At 51.1% G+C, this 17112-nt stretch overlaps 1 protein-coding gene and 1 non-coding gene across 8 annotated transcripts in view, besides 1 other annotated feature; both read right to left on the bottom strand.

Moving 5' to 3' along the window:
• Window positions 1-17112, bottom strand: part of SIPA1L3 (signal induced proliferation associated 1 like 3) — a 301162-nt gene that overhangs the window by 44496 nt on the left and 239554 nt on the right. For all 7 annotated transcript variants that reach the window (XM_047438486.1, NM_015073.3, XM_017026518.3 and 4 more), the window contains 2 exons: window positions 10907-11034; window positions 1503-1621 (listed from right to left, as the gene is read on the bottom strand). In XM_047438486.1, coding sequence (XP_047294442.1) covers window positions 1503-1621; window positions 10907-11034 — 247 coding nt within the window. The remainder of the gene's footprint in view (window positions 1-1502; window positions 1622-10906; window positions 11035-17112) is intronic.
• SNORD152 (small nucleolar RNA, C/D box 152) lies at window positions 725-778 on the bottom strand. The gene has a single exon (NR_145800.1). It is a non-coding gene; the product is annotated as a small nucleolar RNA, C/D box 152 (small nucleolar RNA).
• Window positions 5968-6146: a silencer, noted in NCBI's record as "fragment chr19:38648368-38648546 (GRCh37/hg19 assembly coordinates)". NCBI's record gives its function as "represses an EF-1alpha promoter that drives an FKBP-Casp9 reporter gene in an ReSE screen in phorbol 12-myristate 13-acetate-treated (for megakaryocytic differentiation) K562 erythroleukemia cells {active_cell/tissue: K562(+PMA)}" and the evidence as "EXISTENCE:reporter gene assay evidence [ECO:0000049][PMID:32094911]".

The raw sequence follows: 17112 nt of genomic DNA, 5'->3' as shown, positions 1-17112 counted from the left end.
TGAGTTAGATGATGACCCCCACCTGTGGCTCCATCTTACTCCAGGCACAAGTGAGAGTTCCCAGCATGGCCCATGGGGCTTTGATGCTTGGGTCCCGGTCTCCAACTTCATCTCCCCTCCCTCCCGATCACGTTGCTGTGGCCATGGTGGCCCCCTTGCTATTCTCGGAACATACTGGGCACTCCCCGTCAGGGCCTCTGCGCCTGCTGCTCCCTCTGCCTGCAATACTCTTCCCTGAGAGATCTTCGTGGGCCTCCCCCTTCCTTCACTCAAGGTTTCCGCTCAAAGGTCACCCCCTCAAAGGCCCTCTCTGACCACATCATCCTTGAGCTGCAGTGCTTGTCACTCTCTCCCCTGGACTGTTTTTTTTTTTTTTTTTTTTTTGAGATAGAGTCTCACTCTGTCGCTCAGGCTGGAGTGCAGTGGTGCAATCTTGGCTTACTGCAGCCTCTGCCTCCTGGGTTCAAGCAATTCTTGTGCCTCAGCCTCCCAAGGAGCTGGGATTATAGGTTCCTGCCACCACGCCTGGCTAATTTTTGTATTTTTAGTAGAGACGGGGTTTTACTAGGTTGCCCAGGCTGGTCTCGAACTCCTGACTGCAGGTGATCCGTCCGCCTTGGCCTCCTAAAGCACTGGGATTATAGGCGTGAGCCACCGCGCCCAGCCCGCACTTTTTCTTATACAACAGATCTGTTTATCTGCTTACTGCTTGCTGCCCCAAATGGGAAGTCAGCTTCCTGAGGACAGGGCTGGTCTGTCCTCTTCATCATCATGGTCCCAATGCCTGGAGTGTTGTAAGCGCTTGTCAAACACCCACTGAACGAATGGATACAAAGAGATTGCCAAGAGCCCCTGCAAACCATCTCCTCCTCCTGGACACACAGGACTACATCCCCAGCCTTCCTGGGCCATGCAAGACTACATTTCCCAGCCTCCCTTGCAGCTAGGTGTGGCCACGTGATGGAATGGAAGCGATTCATGCCATTTCCAGGCCTGGGCTAAAAAACACCTCCCATGTGATCTTTTCTCCCACTCACCTCCACTGCTGGAAAGACGCAGGGACCCAGCAGAGGGCTTGGAACCTCTGAGGGACAGCAGAGCCACAAGAGGGAGGGAGCCTGGGCTCTGAATCACCACGTGAATGGCGGGTAGATGCTCACTGAATACCTGCACTGCGCTGTTACAGGAGAGGGAAATCCACTTCCACTGTATGAAGTCACTGAGATTCGGGGCTGTCTGTTACAGCAGCTGATTTACCATGACTGATGGAACAATGAGGAAACTGCGGCTCGAGGAGGTAAAGGGATTTGCCCTAGATGACCTGGCTGATGAGGGCTGGAGCCAGAATGTGAACCTGGTTGGTTCCAACTCAGACCAAGTATTCAACCCCTCTGCTGAGTGGAAGGTGGCAGAGGTTGAGGATGTGCTCAAGTGTGAAGCTCAGAGGCCACACCCAGGCAGGCCTGGCTCCCCCGGTAGGGCAGGGTGGGGCCCAGACTCACTTTGGAATGCCTGTTGGGGGAATCTTTGCCTGCTGCATCCTGCCTGGACGGGTGCTTGTTCCCGCTGCTTCCGGCTATGGCTGAGAGCCTGGCCTGGGCAGGCACATGCCACAAAGGCTCTGTAGGAAAACAGGAGACACACCAGTGGTTAGGAGTGACTCAGGCCAGGGCCTGAAGAATCTGGACCCTTTGCCAGACTGTCTGCTCACCCACGGCATGACCCCATCAATTTACACCTTGGAGTGCAACACTCAGTAACAGAGAATACATCTCAGCACATACTATGTGCCAGACACCGTTCTGAGGGCCTCACTGAAGCCGTGCAATATCCCATTTCCCTCTCTCCCTGTCACCCAGGCTAAAGTGCAATGGAATGATCATAGCTCACTGTAACCTTGAACTCCTGGGTTGAAGCCATCCTCCCGCCTCAGCCTCCCAAGTAGCTAGGACTACAGGTGTGCATCACCATGCTTGGCTAATTTTTTTTTTTTTTTTGAGGTCTTGCTACAGCATCCAGGGTGGTCTTGAACTCCTGGCCTCAAGTGATCCTCCTGCCTCAGCTTCCCAAAGTGCTGGGATGATAGGCGTGAGCCACCATGCCTAGCCTCCTTTACCCATTTATCTATGAGCTTGACTGTCTTTTTTGAGATGGGGTCTCGCTCTGTCGCTCAGGCTGGAGTGCAGTGGTATGATCTCAGCTCACTGCACCCTCCACTGCCCAGGGTTCAAGTGATTCTCCTGTCTCAGCCTCTCAAGCAGCTGGGATTACAGGTGTGGCACCACCATGCCCAGCTAATTGTTTTGTATTTTTAGTGGAGACAGGGTTTCACCATATTGGCCAGGCTGGTCTCGAACTCCTGACCTCGTGATCCACCTGCCTCGGCCTCCCAAAGTGCTGGGATTACAGGTGTGAGCTACCGCACCCGGCCCAAACTATCTTTTATCTTATTGGTTAGTAGAGTTCTTTACATATGCAAGGTAGCAATCCTTTGTTGGTTGTATGTACATAGTTTTTTTTTTTTTTTTTTTTTGAGACGGAGTCTTGCTCTGTCACCCAGGCTAGAGCGCAGTGGTGTGATCTCAGCTCACTGCAACCTCTGCCTCCCAGGTCAAGTGATTCTCCTGCCTCAGCCTCCTGAGTAGCTGGGATTACAGGCACTGGCCACCACGCCCGGCTAATTTTTGTATTTTTAGTAGAGACGGGGTTTCACCATCTTGGCCAGGCTGGTCTCGAACTCCTGACCTCGTGATCCACCCATCTCAGCCTCCCAAAGTGCTGGGATTACAGATGTGAGCCACCGTGCCCGGCCCACAACTTTTTTAAAAAACAAAAATGGAATAATAATAAACACTGTCCTACAACTTAATTTTTCACTTTGTAATATGTCTATACTTGCTTTTCTCTTTATATCTTCACCATAGGTCTTCACATAATTGAATGTGATGTTACCCTAATAGTATTGCACTAAGTGAATGTACATCAATGACCTGCCAGTTTCCTACTGATGGATATTTAGGTTATCTTGAACAGTCTTCCCTCTACAGTGGCCTTCCCTCTACATGCGACTTTGAGCAAGCGTGGGATTGTGTGTGGGACAGAGAGTGCTACTGGTGGAATTGCTGGTCCAAAGGTGAAGCGGGTTTAAGAGTAGTGGCTGCTGTGGATGTCAGGCCTGGTGCGGTGGCTCACGCCTGTAATCCCAGCACTTTGGGAGGCCGAGGCGGGCAGAGCACGAGGTCAAGAGTTGAGACCATCCTGTCCAACATGGTGAAACCCCGTCTCTACTAAAAAAAATACAAAAAATAGCTGGGTGTGGTGGTGCACGCCTGTAGTCCCAGCTACTTGGGAGGCTGAGGCAGAAGAATCGCTTGGACCTGGGAGGAGGAGGCTGCAGTGAGCCGAGATCGCACCCCTGCACTCCAGCCTGGAGACTAAGCGAGACTCCGTCTCAAAAAAAAAAAAAAGAGTAGCAGCTGCTCTGGATGTCAACTGGTTTAACCTCTCCAGCCTAGTCAGTATGCCTGGACCAAGTATCTTGCTGACCTTAAAAAAAAATTGGCCAGGTGCGGTGGCTCATGCCTGTAATCCCAGCACTTTGGGAGGCCAAGATGGGGGGATCATTTGAGGTCAGGAGTTCAGGACCAGCCTGACCAACATGGTGAAACCCTGTCTCTCCTAAAAATACAAAAAAATTAGCTGGGTGTGATGGCACATGCCTGTAGTCCCAGCTACTCGGGAGGCTGAGGTAGGAGAATTGCTTGAACCTGGGAGGTGGAGGCTGCAGTGAGCCGAGATCGCGCCATTACACTCCATCCTGGGCAACAGAGCAATACTCCGTCTCAAAAAAATAAATAAAAAATAAAATAAATAAAGACATACATAAAAAGTGACCAACCCCAGTGGAGGGCATTTAGATATTATCTATGGAAATTACAAATGCACTAACTGAGGAGCTGAACGCCGGTGATTTAACCCCAAAGCTGACTTTTGATCACTATGGTATTCAAGATCATTAACATAATGATAATTCCCATTAAGCGTGTGTTCTGTGTCAGGCGCTATGGTAAGCACTCTGCATACATTACCCTGCTGCGTCCTCCCAGTACCACTGTGAAGTGGGTATCAGGAGCATCTCCGATAGATGTGGAACAAGACTCGGAGAGGTTAAGCAGCTGGTCCAAGGTCGCACAGTGGGAAAGGGCCAGGCAGGACGTGTGGCTCGGATTGGCCTAGTTTAGCACCTGTGCTGTCAAGCCCTGCCTCCTCCCTTGGCTTCACCAACAACGGCAATGCTGGCAGTGGTGGAGAGTGAGTGCCCGATGGGCAGGAGCTCTTGTTCTCCTAATGATGGGCCGTGGGCTTGGCCGGCATTATCTCACTGGACCCCCCACAAACTGCCCTGGAAGGAGAGACACCTAGGATGTCCACTACAGGAGTGGGACCTGAGGCTGAGGGGGAGGAGGTCACTGCTGAGGCCACACACCAAGCATACGCCCAACTCAGAACTGCCCACCAGGCCTGTGGGACCCCGAGCTTGCAATCACACTGCCACCTCCGGTGCAAGCCCAGGGTACTCTTGGGCCCATGTTCCTGCTGGGGAAGGTGGCCCGGGTGACCAGGCAGGGCACTCAGGGCCACTGCAGAGAATGGCCTGGCTGGATGTGGTCTAGTCTCAGTTGAGGGTGTCACCGCGTGTGTGGCTTTCACTGGGGAACCATGGATGCGAGAAAGTGGGGAGGCTGGCCTCTTTGTCCACCTGCTCTGCCTCCATTGATGGTTTTCCTCTTTGGGGCATTTTTATACACCCAGAAGGTGCTGGCTCCCCGGGAGGTGGGCAGTCACTCTGGGAGACCACATTTCTACAGAGCGAAGCCCATGGCAGTCACATCCGGCCTCAAAAACCACAGACAACGGACAACTCCAGTGCTCTACCTCTGGGCTGACCTCTGCCCCTGACTTGACACTTGAACTCGGCTGCCCTGCAGCACCTCCACTTGGGTATCTATCAGGCACCTCTCACTGAACATGGCCAAGGCCAAGCCAAGGGCTGTACCTTCCCCCAAACCTGCATCTCCCACAGTTTTCCTGCTCAGTTCATGGCTTCTCCTTTCAGCTGCTGTGGCCAAACCCCCTGTGGCATCCTTGACTTCTCTCATGCCCACAACTAGGCATCATCAAGAAATTTGGTTAACGCTGCCTTTAAAATACTATATCCAGAATCGTGCATCTCCGCCTACCTCTGTCCCCACCTGGTCCTGCTCCCACCCCACCTGACAGTAATCTGTAGCCAGGGGCTCCTGGGAACACCCGAGTCAGATCCTGCCCCTCCTCTGCACAGAAGACTGAGACCTGCGGCTCCTGTCCCACTCTCAGTACAGGACAACCGCCTCCCCGTGGCCCAAGAGGCTCCACATACTCTGCCCGTCCCCTCCCTGATCTCAGTTCTCACCACATGGGCCTCATCGCCACCACCTCAGGGTCTCCAACTAGCTGTTCACTTTCCCTGGAATGTTCTCATCCCCACTGACTTCTTTGCATTATTCCAACCTCACCTGAAATGTGATTTGCTCAGAGATGCCCCCCAAACCCTGTAAATCTCCTTCTGCACACTGTGACAGTTTCCACTTTTTTTTTCTTTTGAGACAGAGACTGCTCTGTTGCCCAGGCTGGAGTGCAGTGGCACAATCTCGGCTCACTGCAACCTCCACCTCCCGGGTTCAAGTGATTCTCCTGCCTCAGCCTCCCGAGCCGCTGGGATTACAGGTGCCCGCCACTATGCCTGGCTAATTTTTAGTAGAGATGGGGTTTCACCATGTTGGCCAGGCTGCTCTCGAACTCCTGACCTCAAGTGATCCGCCTGCCTTGGCCTCCGAAAGTGCTGGGATTACAGACATGAGACACCGTGCCCAGCCTAGTTTCCACTTCATACTCGGCATTACTGTTAATGTTTTATCATCATCGTGTCCCTGTAATTGTCCAATTCTCCCACCAGACTTTCAGCTCCAATAAGGCAGAAAACATGCCTGCCTGGCTCACCCGGTATCCCTGGCGCCCAGCCTGGTGGCATCATCAGTTGAATGCATGCACAGGTGAAAGGGCAGCTTCCTCCCCATCCTGGCTGCCCCTGCATTCTCCTGCCCCAGCTCTGCCCTCAGCAGGCCCTGATCCTGTCCCCTAGTTCTCTGGATCAGCCCTCGGTGACCTGCTGGCCTTCCTACCCCAAACTTGACATGCTGGGCAGGGGACAGCGTGAGAGCATGCTAAAACCCTGGGCCAGGCACAGTCTCTGGGCAGCCGGTGACCATGGAGGCAACCCTCCCAACCTGGGTGCTCTGAGGCCTGGGAAACGCTCACACTCTGTGGGTGAGGGGTTGTGGGTGGAGCTTATGGAGGGGTTCTGGGACCCAACAGGGCTCCGTTCATATCCTGATTACGCTGCTCACCAGCAGTGACCTGGGACAAGTGACAACCTTTCTGTGCCTCATCGTCCTCCTCTCTAACCGGGGGCAGTCGCAGTGCCCACCCTGTTGTGTTCCTGAGACGACTAAACATGAAGGCATGTGCAGTGTGCACACTGGACAATCCACGAAACTGTACAGCTGTTATTAGGATGGCTCGCTCCATCGGGGCTGGGCAAACCCCCACATCTGCTGCGAAGCCTGATCCTTGCCATCTTTAGTGAACCAACTTTTTTTTATTTTTTTATTTTATTGAGACAGGTGTTGCTCTGTCGGCCAGGCTGGAGTGTAGTGGATCATGGCTTGCTGTAGCCTCAAACTCTCGGGCTCAAGCCATCCTTCCACCTCAGCCTCTTGAGCAGCTGGGACCATAGGTGCGCACTGCCACACCTAGCTATATTTTTTTATTTTTTGTAGAGGCAGAGTCCCACTAGGTTGCCCACGCTGGTTTCGAACTCCTAGCCTCAAGCAATCCTCCCACCTCAGCCTCCCACAGTGCTAGAATTATAGGTGTGAGCCACTGTCCCTGGCCTTTTTTCTGAGTCTTGAATACATTGTAGACCTCACAATGATTTCTTTTTTTATTTTTTAGATGGAGTCTCACTCTGTCTCCGAGGCAGGAGTGCAATGCGTGATCTCAGCTCACTGCAACCTCTGTCTCCCGGGTTCAAGCGATTCTCCTGCCTCAGCCTCCTGAGTAGCTGGGATTACAGGTGCATGCCACCACACCCAGCTAATTTTTATATTTTTGGTACAGATAGGGTTTCATCATGTTGGTCAGGCTGGTCTTGAGCTCCTGACCTCAAGTGATCCACCCGCCTCGGCCTCCCAAAGTGCTGGGATTACAGGCGTGAGCCACTGCGCCCAGCCTCATGATGATTTCTAAACACAGATTCCCCTGATCCATGTGGGCGTGTGTGTATGGCGGCGGCAATTTTAGGAGTCAACTATAACAAGGTCCCAAGGAAGTGAGAGGGGAGCCAAGCTCCAGGGGACAGAAGAGGGAAGGGAAGGGCAATGGTGAGTTTCTTTTTTGGGGCCCATGGTGTATGCAGGAAACACTTCCTCCCCATTTTGTACTTTGGTGTGTAATGAAATAGCCAAGCAACACTTTTCTCTTTTTCTGAACTTGCTGAGGAAAAAGGAAAAAAGGGATCCAAATCTATCTGTCTTGGAGCAAAGATGACAGAATTGCAGGCAGTGACATGATCAAATGTGCTGAGGACAGGAGCAAACCACGCACACCCTGGAGACAGCAAAGAGGCTGAGGCCCCAGCAGTTCGACCTGCTTCCCTGAAGCCCAACCACTGTCTCTGGTTTTTGTTTTTTTTGAGACAGAGTTTCTCTCTCGTTACCCAGGCTGGAGTGGAACGGCGCGATCTCAGCTTACTGCAACTTCTGCCTCCCGTGTTCAAGCGATTCTCCTGCCTCAGCCTCCTGAGTAGCTGGGATTATAGGCATGCACCATCACGCCTGGTTAATTTTTGTATTTTTAGTAGAGAAGGGGTTTCGCCAAGTTGGCCAGGCTGGTCTCGAACTCCTGATCTCAGGAGATCGGCCTGCCTCGGCCTCCCAAAATGCTGGGATTATAGGCGTGACACTGTCTCTGGTTTAAGAGAACCATGGGCTGAGATATTGAGGAATTCTCCAGGCCACGAATCTTGGGGCATGCAGCCTCTTCCGTACCCCACAGCATCTGGGGGAGCTGGTGTGCTGATGGGGTCAGCTCTCCCAGCTGCCTGGAAATTCTCAGACACTCCCTAAGAGGACATCTCCACCCCTCCCACTCTGACGTCACTGCTTTCTAACATTGCTCATTTGTTTGCTTCCTTCTGAATCCATCTCGCCCATTCATCTGCTGGTTCTCAGACTTCAAAGGGGCTACAAGTTTGTTCTATGGAATTATGTTTAAAATATTCATCTGAGTAGTTCACAACATGATTAATAATGGGGAAGACACATTGAGAAGATGCTCAAATCTTAGCAGTCTTCAGAAAAATGCAAATTACAGACATAAAGAATTCAAATTACAAAGCCAGCCGGGTGCGGTGGCTCGCGCCTGTAATCCCAGCACTTTGGGAGGCTGAGGTAGGAGGATCACCTGAGCCCAGGAGTTTGAGACCAGCCTGGGCAACATGGCAAGACGTTGTCTCTGTAAAAAATGTTTTTAAAAAATAATAAATAAAATAAAACCATAATGTGGTAGCACCACCTGCCCACCGGAATGAATGAAACACAGAGGCTGGTGAGGGCATGCAGCAACTAGAACTCTCACATGTTGATAGACAGAGTATAAGATGCTTTGTCATTTTGGGAAACAGTTTGGCACCTTCTTATAAAGTTAAACATACTAGCCCTGTGTGGTGGCTCACACCTGTAATCTCAGCACTTTGGGAAGCCGAAGCGGGTGGATCACTTGAGGTCAGGAGTTCAAGACCAGCCTTGGCAACATGTTGAAACCCTGTCTCTATTAAAAATACAAAATTAGCCAGGAGTGGTGGCTCATGCCTATGGTCCCAGGTACTTGGGAGGCTGAGGCAGGAGAATCGCTTGAGCCTGGGAGGCGGAGGTTGCAGCGAGCTGAGATTACGCCACTGCACTCCAGCTTGGGCAACAGAGTAAGACTCTGTCTCAAAAAAAAAAAAAAAATGAATAATAAAATAAAATAGCTGGGTGCGGTGGCTCACGCCTGTAATCCCATCACTTTGGGAGGCTGAGGCGGGTGGATCACAAGGTCAGGAGTTCGAGACGAGCCTGGCCAAGATGGTGAAACCCCGTCTCTACTAAAAATACAAAAATTAGCCAGGTGTGGTGGCGCATGTCTGTAGTCTCAGCTACTTGAGAGGCTGAAGCAGGAGAATTGTTTGAACCCAGGAGTTGGAGGTTGCGGTGAGCCGAGATTGTGCCATTGCACTCCAGCCTGGGTGACAAGAGCGAAACTCCGTTTAAAAAATAAATAAATAAATAAATAAAATAAAATCAACTTAAAAATATGACCTAGAAATTTCACTCCTAGGTGTATACCCTACAGAAATGTGAACCTATGTTCATCAAAAGACAGGCACAAGAATGTTCCTAGCAACACTGCTCTAGGCAGCCCAACTGCAAACAACCCAAATGTCTATCAACACCAAGATGTGGCAATAAGTTGTGGCTTATTCATACAACGGGGGATACCACTCAGATACTGCGATACCATGTACATTCACTGGCTGGCTGTCACAAATGTAACACTGAGTGACAGAAACCAGACACACATACACAAAATAGACACAGTGTGATTCTGTATTCTATGAAATTCAAAACCAGGCAAAGCTCAGGCTGAGAAGTAGGACAGGGTTCCTTTGGGGGTACTAACTGGGAGGGGAATGGGGGTTTGGAGAGGCTAGCCATGTTATATTTCCTGCCTGGGTGTGTCCACTCTGCGATAGGTTATCAGGCTGTGTCTTCATCATGTAGGCTCTTTTCTTTTTTTTTCTGAGACAGAGTCTTGCTCTGTCGCTCAGGCTGGAGTGCAGTGACTCGATCTCGGCTCACTGCAACCTCTGCCTCCCAGGTTCAAGCAATTCTCCTGCCTCAGCCTCCTGAGTAGCTGAGATTACAGGCATGTACCACCACGCCTGGCTAATTTTTGTATTTTTAGTAGAGACAGGGTTTCCCCATGTTGGCCAGGCTGGTCTTGAATTCCTGACCTCAAATTATTATCCGCCCGCCTTGGCCTGGCCTCTTTTTTTTTTTTTTTTGAGACAGAATCTTGCTCTGTCACCCAGGCTGGAGTGCAGTGGCACGATTTCAGCTCACTGCAACCTCTGCCTCCCAGGTTCAAGTGATTCTCCTGCCTCAGCCTCCCAAGTAGCCGGGATTACAGGTACATGCCACCATGCCCGGCTAATTTTTGTATTTTTAGTAGAGATGGGGTTTCCACATGTTGGCCAGGCTGGTCTTAAACTCCTGACCTCAGGTAATCCTCCCACCTCGGCCTCTCAAAGTGCTGGGATTATAGGCGTGAGCCACCCCGCCTGGCCATGTGGGCTCTTAACATGTGCCGTATGTCCATAAAAGTTGAAAACAACACAGGAGGGTTTATGTAATGAAAAGCCACGGGACGCAGCCAGTCCTGCTCCTGAGAGCTCAATGCTTAATCTTTTTCAGCTACCTTCCCTGGTGGCTCCCAGCTCCATGTCACACAGCTGCACGCCGGCTCTGGCCTTATCAGCGGGAGCAGACGCCACCTGCCGATGCCCTGTCTGGACGGATAAGGATCTCGCTTGCTGGTTCCGCTGCTCTCCTAGGTGCCCTCTCTAGTCTTACATGTGGCGCTTACAGCTTTCTTTTGTGTTTTATCCGTCACTCACAAGAGGGGGAGTGTTGCCTGTCAAGCTCTAAGTAAGAGGTCCTGCGGAGTGAGGCAGGCGGGTGGGCGCAGCAGCTGGTGGGGGCCCTACCTGGCTTCTGGCGTTCCATGGTGCTCTCCTGGCTGGTCAGGCCGCCGGAAGAGGAGTCGCCGCTGGACGTCCCATCGTGGCTGAAGTGGGGATCAAGAGATAGCAGGGGGTGTGGGGCAGCCGTGTACCTGCAGGGGATGAGAAGAACGTGCCCAGGGTTAAAGATCAGCCTATGTCGAAAACCACCTGAGCCTGAGCCTGAGCCTTGCTCGCCAGTGGGTTTTAGACACACGGGAGGCTCCGCTGTGGATGAGAGAAAGCGGTTAGGAAGGCTGGATGAGTAAGCCTGGAAACGTGCTATTAGCTGCGGGTCCGGGATGAGAGTCTCGCCTGGGAAGCCTGCCAGGGAGCTGGTGGCGGCGGGGCAAGGCGGGTTCCTAAGGGAAGGAGGGGGCAGAGGCCGCTTGGGCCGACAGCCCTACCCCTGGGCTCCTCTCAGGGGTCCTGTTTTCTGGCTGTGACATGGGGTGAATGTCCCCAGCAGCTACTGCCCCAGGCCTCTCTCGGGCTGCCTTGCTCTGATGGAGACAGCAGGTTGGGAAGCATTCATGGGTGCAGCAGGCCCTGAGTTGGGCAACTGGGGCTTCAAAGCTCACCATGGCCTCTTGCCTAGACAGATGCAGCCACTTCCTAGCCCACAGCCTCAGTTTCCTTAGCTGTCAAGAGGCGATAACAGTAGGTCCTTCTTCTCAGGACTGAAGGATGCCCCGTCATGTCCAGTGTTTAGGCAGGGGTTTGATTCCTGACACATGGTGACTTGGGACACCTGGCTGATGGGCTAGAACTCTGTGTGTTCTACCACGCCCAGCTCACGAGGTAACATTTTCTACCTCATAGAGTTGGGGAGTGGATGGAATAAAGTTATCCCCTAGACAGAGGTCCTCCTGGAGGCCAGCTTCGCACACCCACATGCAAGGCTAGGATTTAAGGGAGGTGGTGGTAGAAGGCTCTCACTGTGCCCTCCTGTCCCAGTGGCATTCTCTATTTTTTTTTTTTTTTTTTTTTTGAGATGGGGTCTTGCTCTGTCAACCAGGCTGGAGTGCAGTGGCACAATCTCAGCTCACTGCAACCTCCGCCTCCCGGCTCAAGCGATCCTCCCACTTCAGCCTCCTGAGTAGCTGGTACTATAGCTGCATGTTACACGCCCGGCTAATTTTTAGTATTTTTTTGTAGAGATGGGTTTCACCATGTTGCCCAGGCTGGTCTTGAACTCCTGGGCCCAAGCGATTTGCCTACTTCAGCTTCCCAAAGCGCTGGGACTACAGATGTGAGCCACCATGCCCGGCCCCAGTGGCCCTGTCTACAACCATGGGGTGAATCTTGTAGACACTTCCTAACGTCCAGTCCTCCTTGGATCACAGCCGGTTGTGGTAGAAGGTCTTCTCCCTGTCTGAGGTTGGTTCAGAGACAGGCCTGTGACAAAATTTTGGCTGATGAGACACGAAGGGAGGTGAGTTATTAAGACGCCCACAAAACATTCCAGTTCTCCACTTCCAAGCAGGTGGCAGGACACACTTCCAGGTCCCTTGAGACTGGCTGAATGGAGTCATGTGACCAGCGCTCATAGCTGAGCTGTCAGGGAAGTGACTTGGAGTTGCTGGCTGCCTGGGTAGCCTGGGTCCTGAGAGGTCCCTGCCAACCAGCAGTGGAACTGCGGAGGGGCTGAGAAATAAACGTTGCTGATTTAAGCCACGGAGACTTTCAGGTGTCTGTTACCCAGCACCGTCTGACTGAAATGGGGTAAGTCTGCCCAGAGGCTTCTGGGAAATCTCCTTGCTCCTAAGAGGGATGACAAGAAAAGATGGCCTCTCTTTGCCCTCCAGATGCTGCTGGGTCCAGATTTAACATCATAAGCTGCTGCTGCCCTGTTGCTACCAGGCTGCAGGTAAGACCCACTCTGATGGTGGAAGAGAGGAGGCAGAAGGAATCTGGCCCTTGATAATGTGGTCAAGATGCTGGGTTCACCCTCCCTGGAACCTGCCCTGCTCCTGAGCTTCCTTTTCTGTGAGATAACAAATTCCTACAATGTTTGAGCCAAATTTTGGTTACTTCAGCCAGAAGCACCTCACTGACACAGGCCCTGTGCTCTGGGGGAGTTACTGAGCCTCCATTAATAATGTTGATATTAGCCAGGTGTGGTGGCTCACGCCTGTAATCCCAGCACTTTGGGAGGCCGAGGCAGGCAGATCACTAGAGCTCAGGAGTTCGAGACCAGCCTGGCCAACATGGCAAAACCCCATCTCTACTAAAAATATAAAAATTAGCCAGGTGTGGTGGTGTGTGCCTGTGACATCCCAGCTACTTGGGAGGCTGAGGCAGGAGAATCAATTGAACCTGGGAGGCGGAGATTGCGGTTGCAGTGAGCCAAGACTGTGCCACTGCGCTCCAGCCTGGACAACAGAACAAGACTCCATTTCAAAAAAAAAAAAAAAAAAAAAGTGTTGATATTGCAATTCCCTGGTTGGCTCCTGGCATCTGTATTTTCAACTTGGGAGGATCTGGTAGGGGGAGGTGAGGTGATAAACTAGGATCCCCCAAGATGCCAAAGAGGAAGTAACTGACTTATCCAGGGTCACCCTGCCAGCTCAAAGCCAGGACTGTCTCTACAGGGACCCTGCCCTAATCCCCTGGCTTCAATGCCCTGAGCACAGTAGAGAGGTGTTTCAAGGGGCACTGCACTCTCTGAAAACTCAACTCCACTCACTTGCCAGGAAAAAACACACCATCCTCCCTGCCCTCAACCAGACCTTGACCACTGACACCTCCAGGAAAGGAAAACAGGGCCCAAACACAGGAAGTACGAAACGTGAATTCTTACTTTTCTCAATGTCTGAGGGCCCAGTTTCCAGCAATCAAAGGGATTTTACAAAAGCAACTTTGACTATAAGCAATCTTCATCTTACTAGCTGACTTCACACCTGGCTAGCTGCCTGGTAAAATGTGGCTCCATCCTTGCTGGAGTTCGGAGTGTTGATGCACTTACTCAGTTTTCCCAAAAAGTCGCTGTGAAATCCTCAGCACTCAGGAAAAATGGCTAGGATGAGCCCGGGGAGGGCGGAAAGTCTGAGTGGCGGATGCTGCAGGCTGCTCCCCATGACTAGCCTCTCCTTCCTCCTTGGTAACAGAATCCCAACTGTATCTGGGGCAGCAATGAGACTGGATCACCAGACTACATGTCCCAGGATCCCTTGCAGCTCTGGCCAATGAGATAAAAGTGGAGGTGCCACACATAACTTCCAGCCTCGAAGCTTCCTCATGAGTGTGCTGTGGATGCCTTTGCCTCACCACCTCCTCAAGGCTACAGCTTGAACAGCCACTTTGAACCAGGAGGCAAAAGGCCAAGGACAGCAATACATCAAGGAGGGGGGGCCTGGTTTCCCGTCAATGTGGGGAAAGAAACAATCTTGTCAGAACCACTATTTTGTATACTATGCAGCTAAACCTAATCGTAATACATAGACCCTCCTCTTTAGTTGGGCATATTTTACCTTGTTTCATCTCTCAGCTACTTTCCCCAATCAGACAACCCGTACTTTATCCAACCATGTACTTCTCTTGTTAACAAGACTTTTTTTGTTTTTTTGAGACGGAGTCTTGCCCTATTGCTTAGGCTGGAGTGCAGCAGTGACGCGAACTTCCACTTCCAGGGTTCAAGCGATATTCTCTTTCCTCAGCCTCCCAAGGGAAGACAGGCACACGCCAAGGTGCCAAGCTAATTTTTGTATTTTTATTAGAGATGAGGTTTCACCATATTGGCCAGGCTGGTCTCAAACTCCTGGCCTCAAGTGATCTGCTTGCACCTGCCCACCTCGGCCTCCCAAAGTGCTGGGATTACAGGTGTGAGCCACTGTGCCCCACCCAACTAACAAGACTTTTTATTATCCCAATGCAAACTGACCTATGTTGACCATTCATTGGGATGCTGAATATATCCCATTTGAGACCATGTCTATCACTGTCCAATTTTGGTCAAACTGATTAGAAATCGGGACATTCCAGCATCTCATCACACACAGCTCTGGGGAAACATCCCCGGCAGAAGAGAAGATCAAATTGCTGTCTTTAACCTCATCTGAGTAATTTTAAAGTAATTATCTCTTCTTGGAAGATAACTCACTTTATAAAGGGTTTGGTGTTTTGGGATGAGCTGACTAGCTATGGTTTCAGATGTCTCCAGGCAGAAGCTGGAGGTACTGACTCTGGGGAGGAACCTTACGGGGAGCAGGGTTGGGCTACGGGACGCTGGCTTGAGCTTCCCTCTTGGCCACAGAGGAAAGCACCAAAACAGACAGGACTGTGGGCAGGAGCCTCGCCGGGCAGAGAGCTCCAGCCCGCTCTGTCAATCTCCCACATCAACCGATGAAACAATAGACAGGTGAATGACAGGATGCCTGGGCAAAATGACGGTCAGATGATGTAGCCTTGTTGGCTGCCACCCCAGCAGCCATCACCTCCGTTCCTGCTTGCCCAGATTCCACTCTGGCAGCCAGCCCTCTGTCTCGTGACTTGAGTAAATCCTCACAGTTAACACAGCCACAGAGGTGCAATGTGACCTTGCCAGGGGTTGAGGGGTGGGCAAGTGATCCAGTTCCTTCCCCCAACTTTTTTTTTTTTTTTGAGATGGAGTCTTGTTCTGTCACCCAGGCTAGAGTGCAGTGGCGCGATCTCAGCTCACTGCAACCTCCGCCTCCCGGGTTCAAGTGATTCTCCTGCCTCAGCCTCCCGAGTAGCTGGGACTACAGGCGCCTGCCACCGTACCCAGCTAACTTTTGTATTTTTAGTAGAGAAGGGGTTTCACCATCTTGGCCAGGCTGGTCTCGAACTCCTGACCTCATGATCCACCCGCCTCAGCCTCCCAAAGTGCTGGGATTACAGGCTTGAGCCACCGAGCCCGGCCCCTTCCCTCTTAATTAATTAATTATTTTGGGACAGAGTCTCACTCTGTCACCCAGGCTGGAGTGCAATGTCACACACCTGGCTCACTGAAGCCTTGACAGCCCGGGCCCAAGCAATCCTCCCACCTCAGCCTCCCAAAGTTCTACGTCAGGGTCAGCCCTCTGGAACCATAGTCCCGGGTTCTCATCTTGGCTCTGTTACGTCCTGGCAGAGTGACCTCAGCCAAGCAAATTCACCTCACTGAGCTGTAGTTTCCCTCTGTAAAATGAGGGCAATTAAACTACCCACCTCAAGGAGTTGCTGGGAGGACTCACTGAGATCATACGTATAGATCAATGGAACCCAGAAACAGATCCACACAAGGATATCCAATTAATTCTGCACTCCCCCATTTTTGCCTTAAGGAACAAAAGCAGTACAGTGGAGTGGGGGTAACCTTTTCAATAAATAGCACTGGAGTAAATCAGACAACCATAGGCAATAAAGGAACCTCAACCTAAACCTCTCACCTTACACAAAAATTAAAACAAACAAATCTCAAAATGGATCATGGACTTAAATGTAAAAGAGTAAAACTTCCAGAAAAAAAAACGAGAAAATCTTCAGGACCCAGCACTAAGCAGAGTTCTTAGACAACACCAAAAACCTGATCCATAAAATAATAATAAAAAAAAGATAATTTGGGCTTTATCAGAATAAAAAACTTAGGCTGGGTGTGGTGGCTCATGCCTATAATCCCAGCACTTTGGGAGGCCAAGGCAGGAGAGTCACTTGATTTAGCCCAGGAGTTTGAAACCAGCCTGGCCAACATGGTGAAACCCTGTCTCTACTAAAAATACAAAAATTAGCTGGGAGGGTTGTGCGTACCTGTAATCCCAGCTTCATGGGAGGTTGAGGCATGAGAATCGCTTGAACCTGGGAGGCAGAAGTTGCAGGGAGCCGAGATGACACCACTGCACTCCGGCTTGGGCAACAGAGCAAGACTCCGTCTCAAAATAAATAAATAAATAAAAATAAAAAATAAAATAAAAAACTTTTGTTCTGTGAAAGACCCTGTAAAAAAGACAAACTAAAGGCTGGGAGGAAATATTTGCAAATCGCATATCTGACAAAGGACTTGTATTTAGAATGTCCAAAGAACTCTTAGACACAGAACACCATCACACCCAATTAGAAGACGCACAAAAGACACGCACAGGCACTTCACTGAAGAGGATACAGGGGTGGCAAATAAGACATGAAAAGGTGTTCAATATCCTTAGCCATTAGGAACATGCAAATTAAAATCACAGTGAGATATCACTGCACAC

This window comes from Homo sapiens, chromosome 19 (assembly GCF_000001405.40).
Source record: "Homo sapiens chromosome 19, GRCh38.p14 Primary Assembly".
NCBI classification, from domain to species: Eukaryota; Metazoa; Chordata; class Mammalia; order Primates; family Hominidae; genus Homo; species Homo sapiens.
This window is presented reverse-complemented; position numbering and strand designations above follow the sequence as displayed.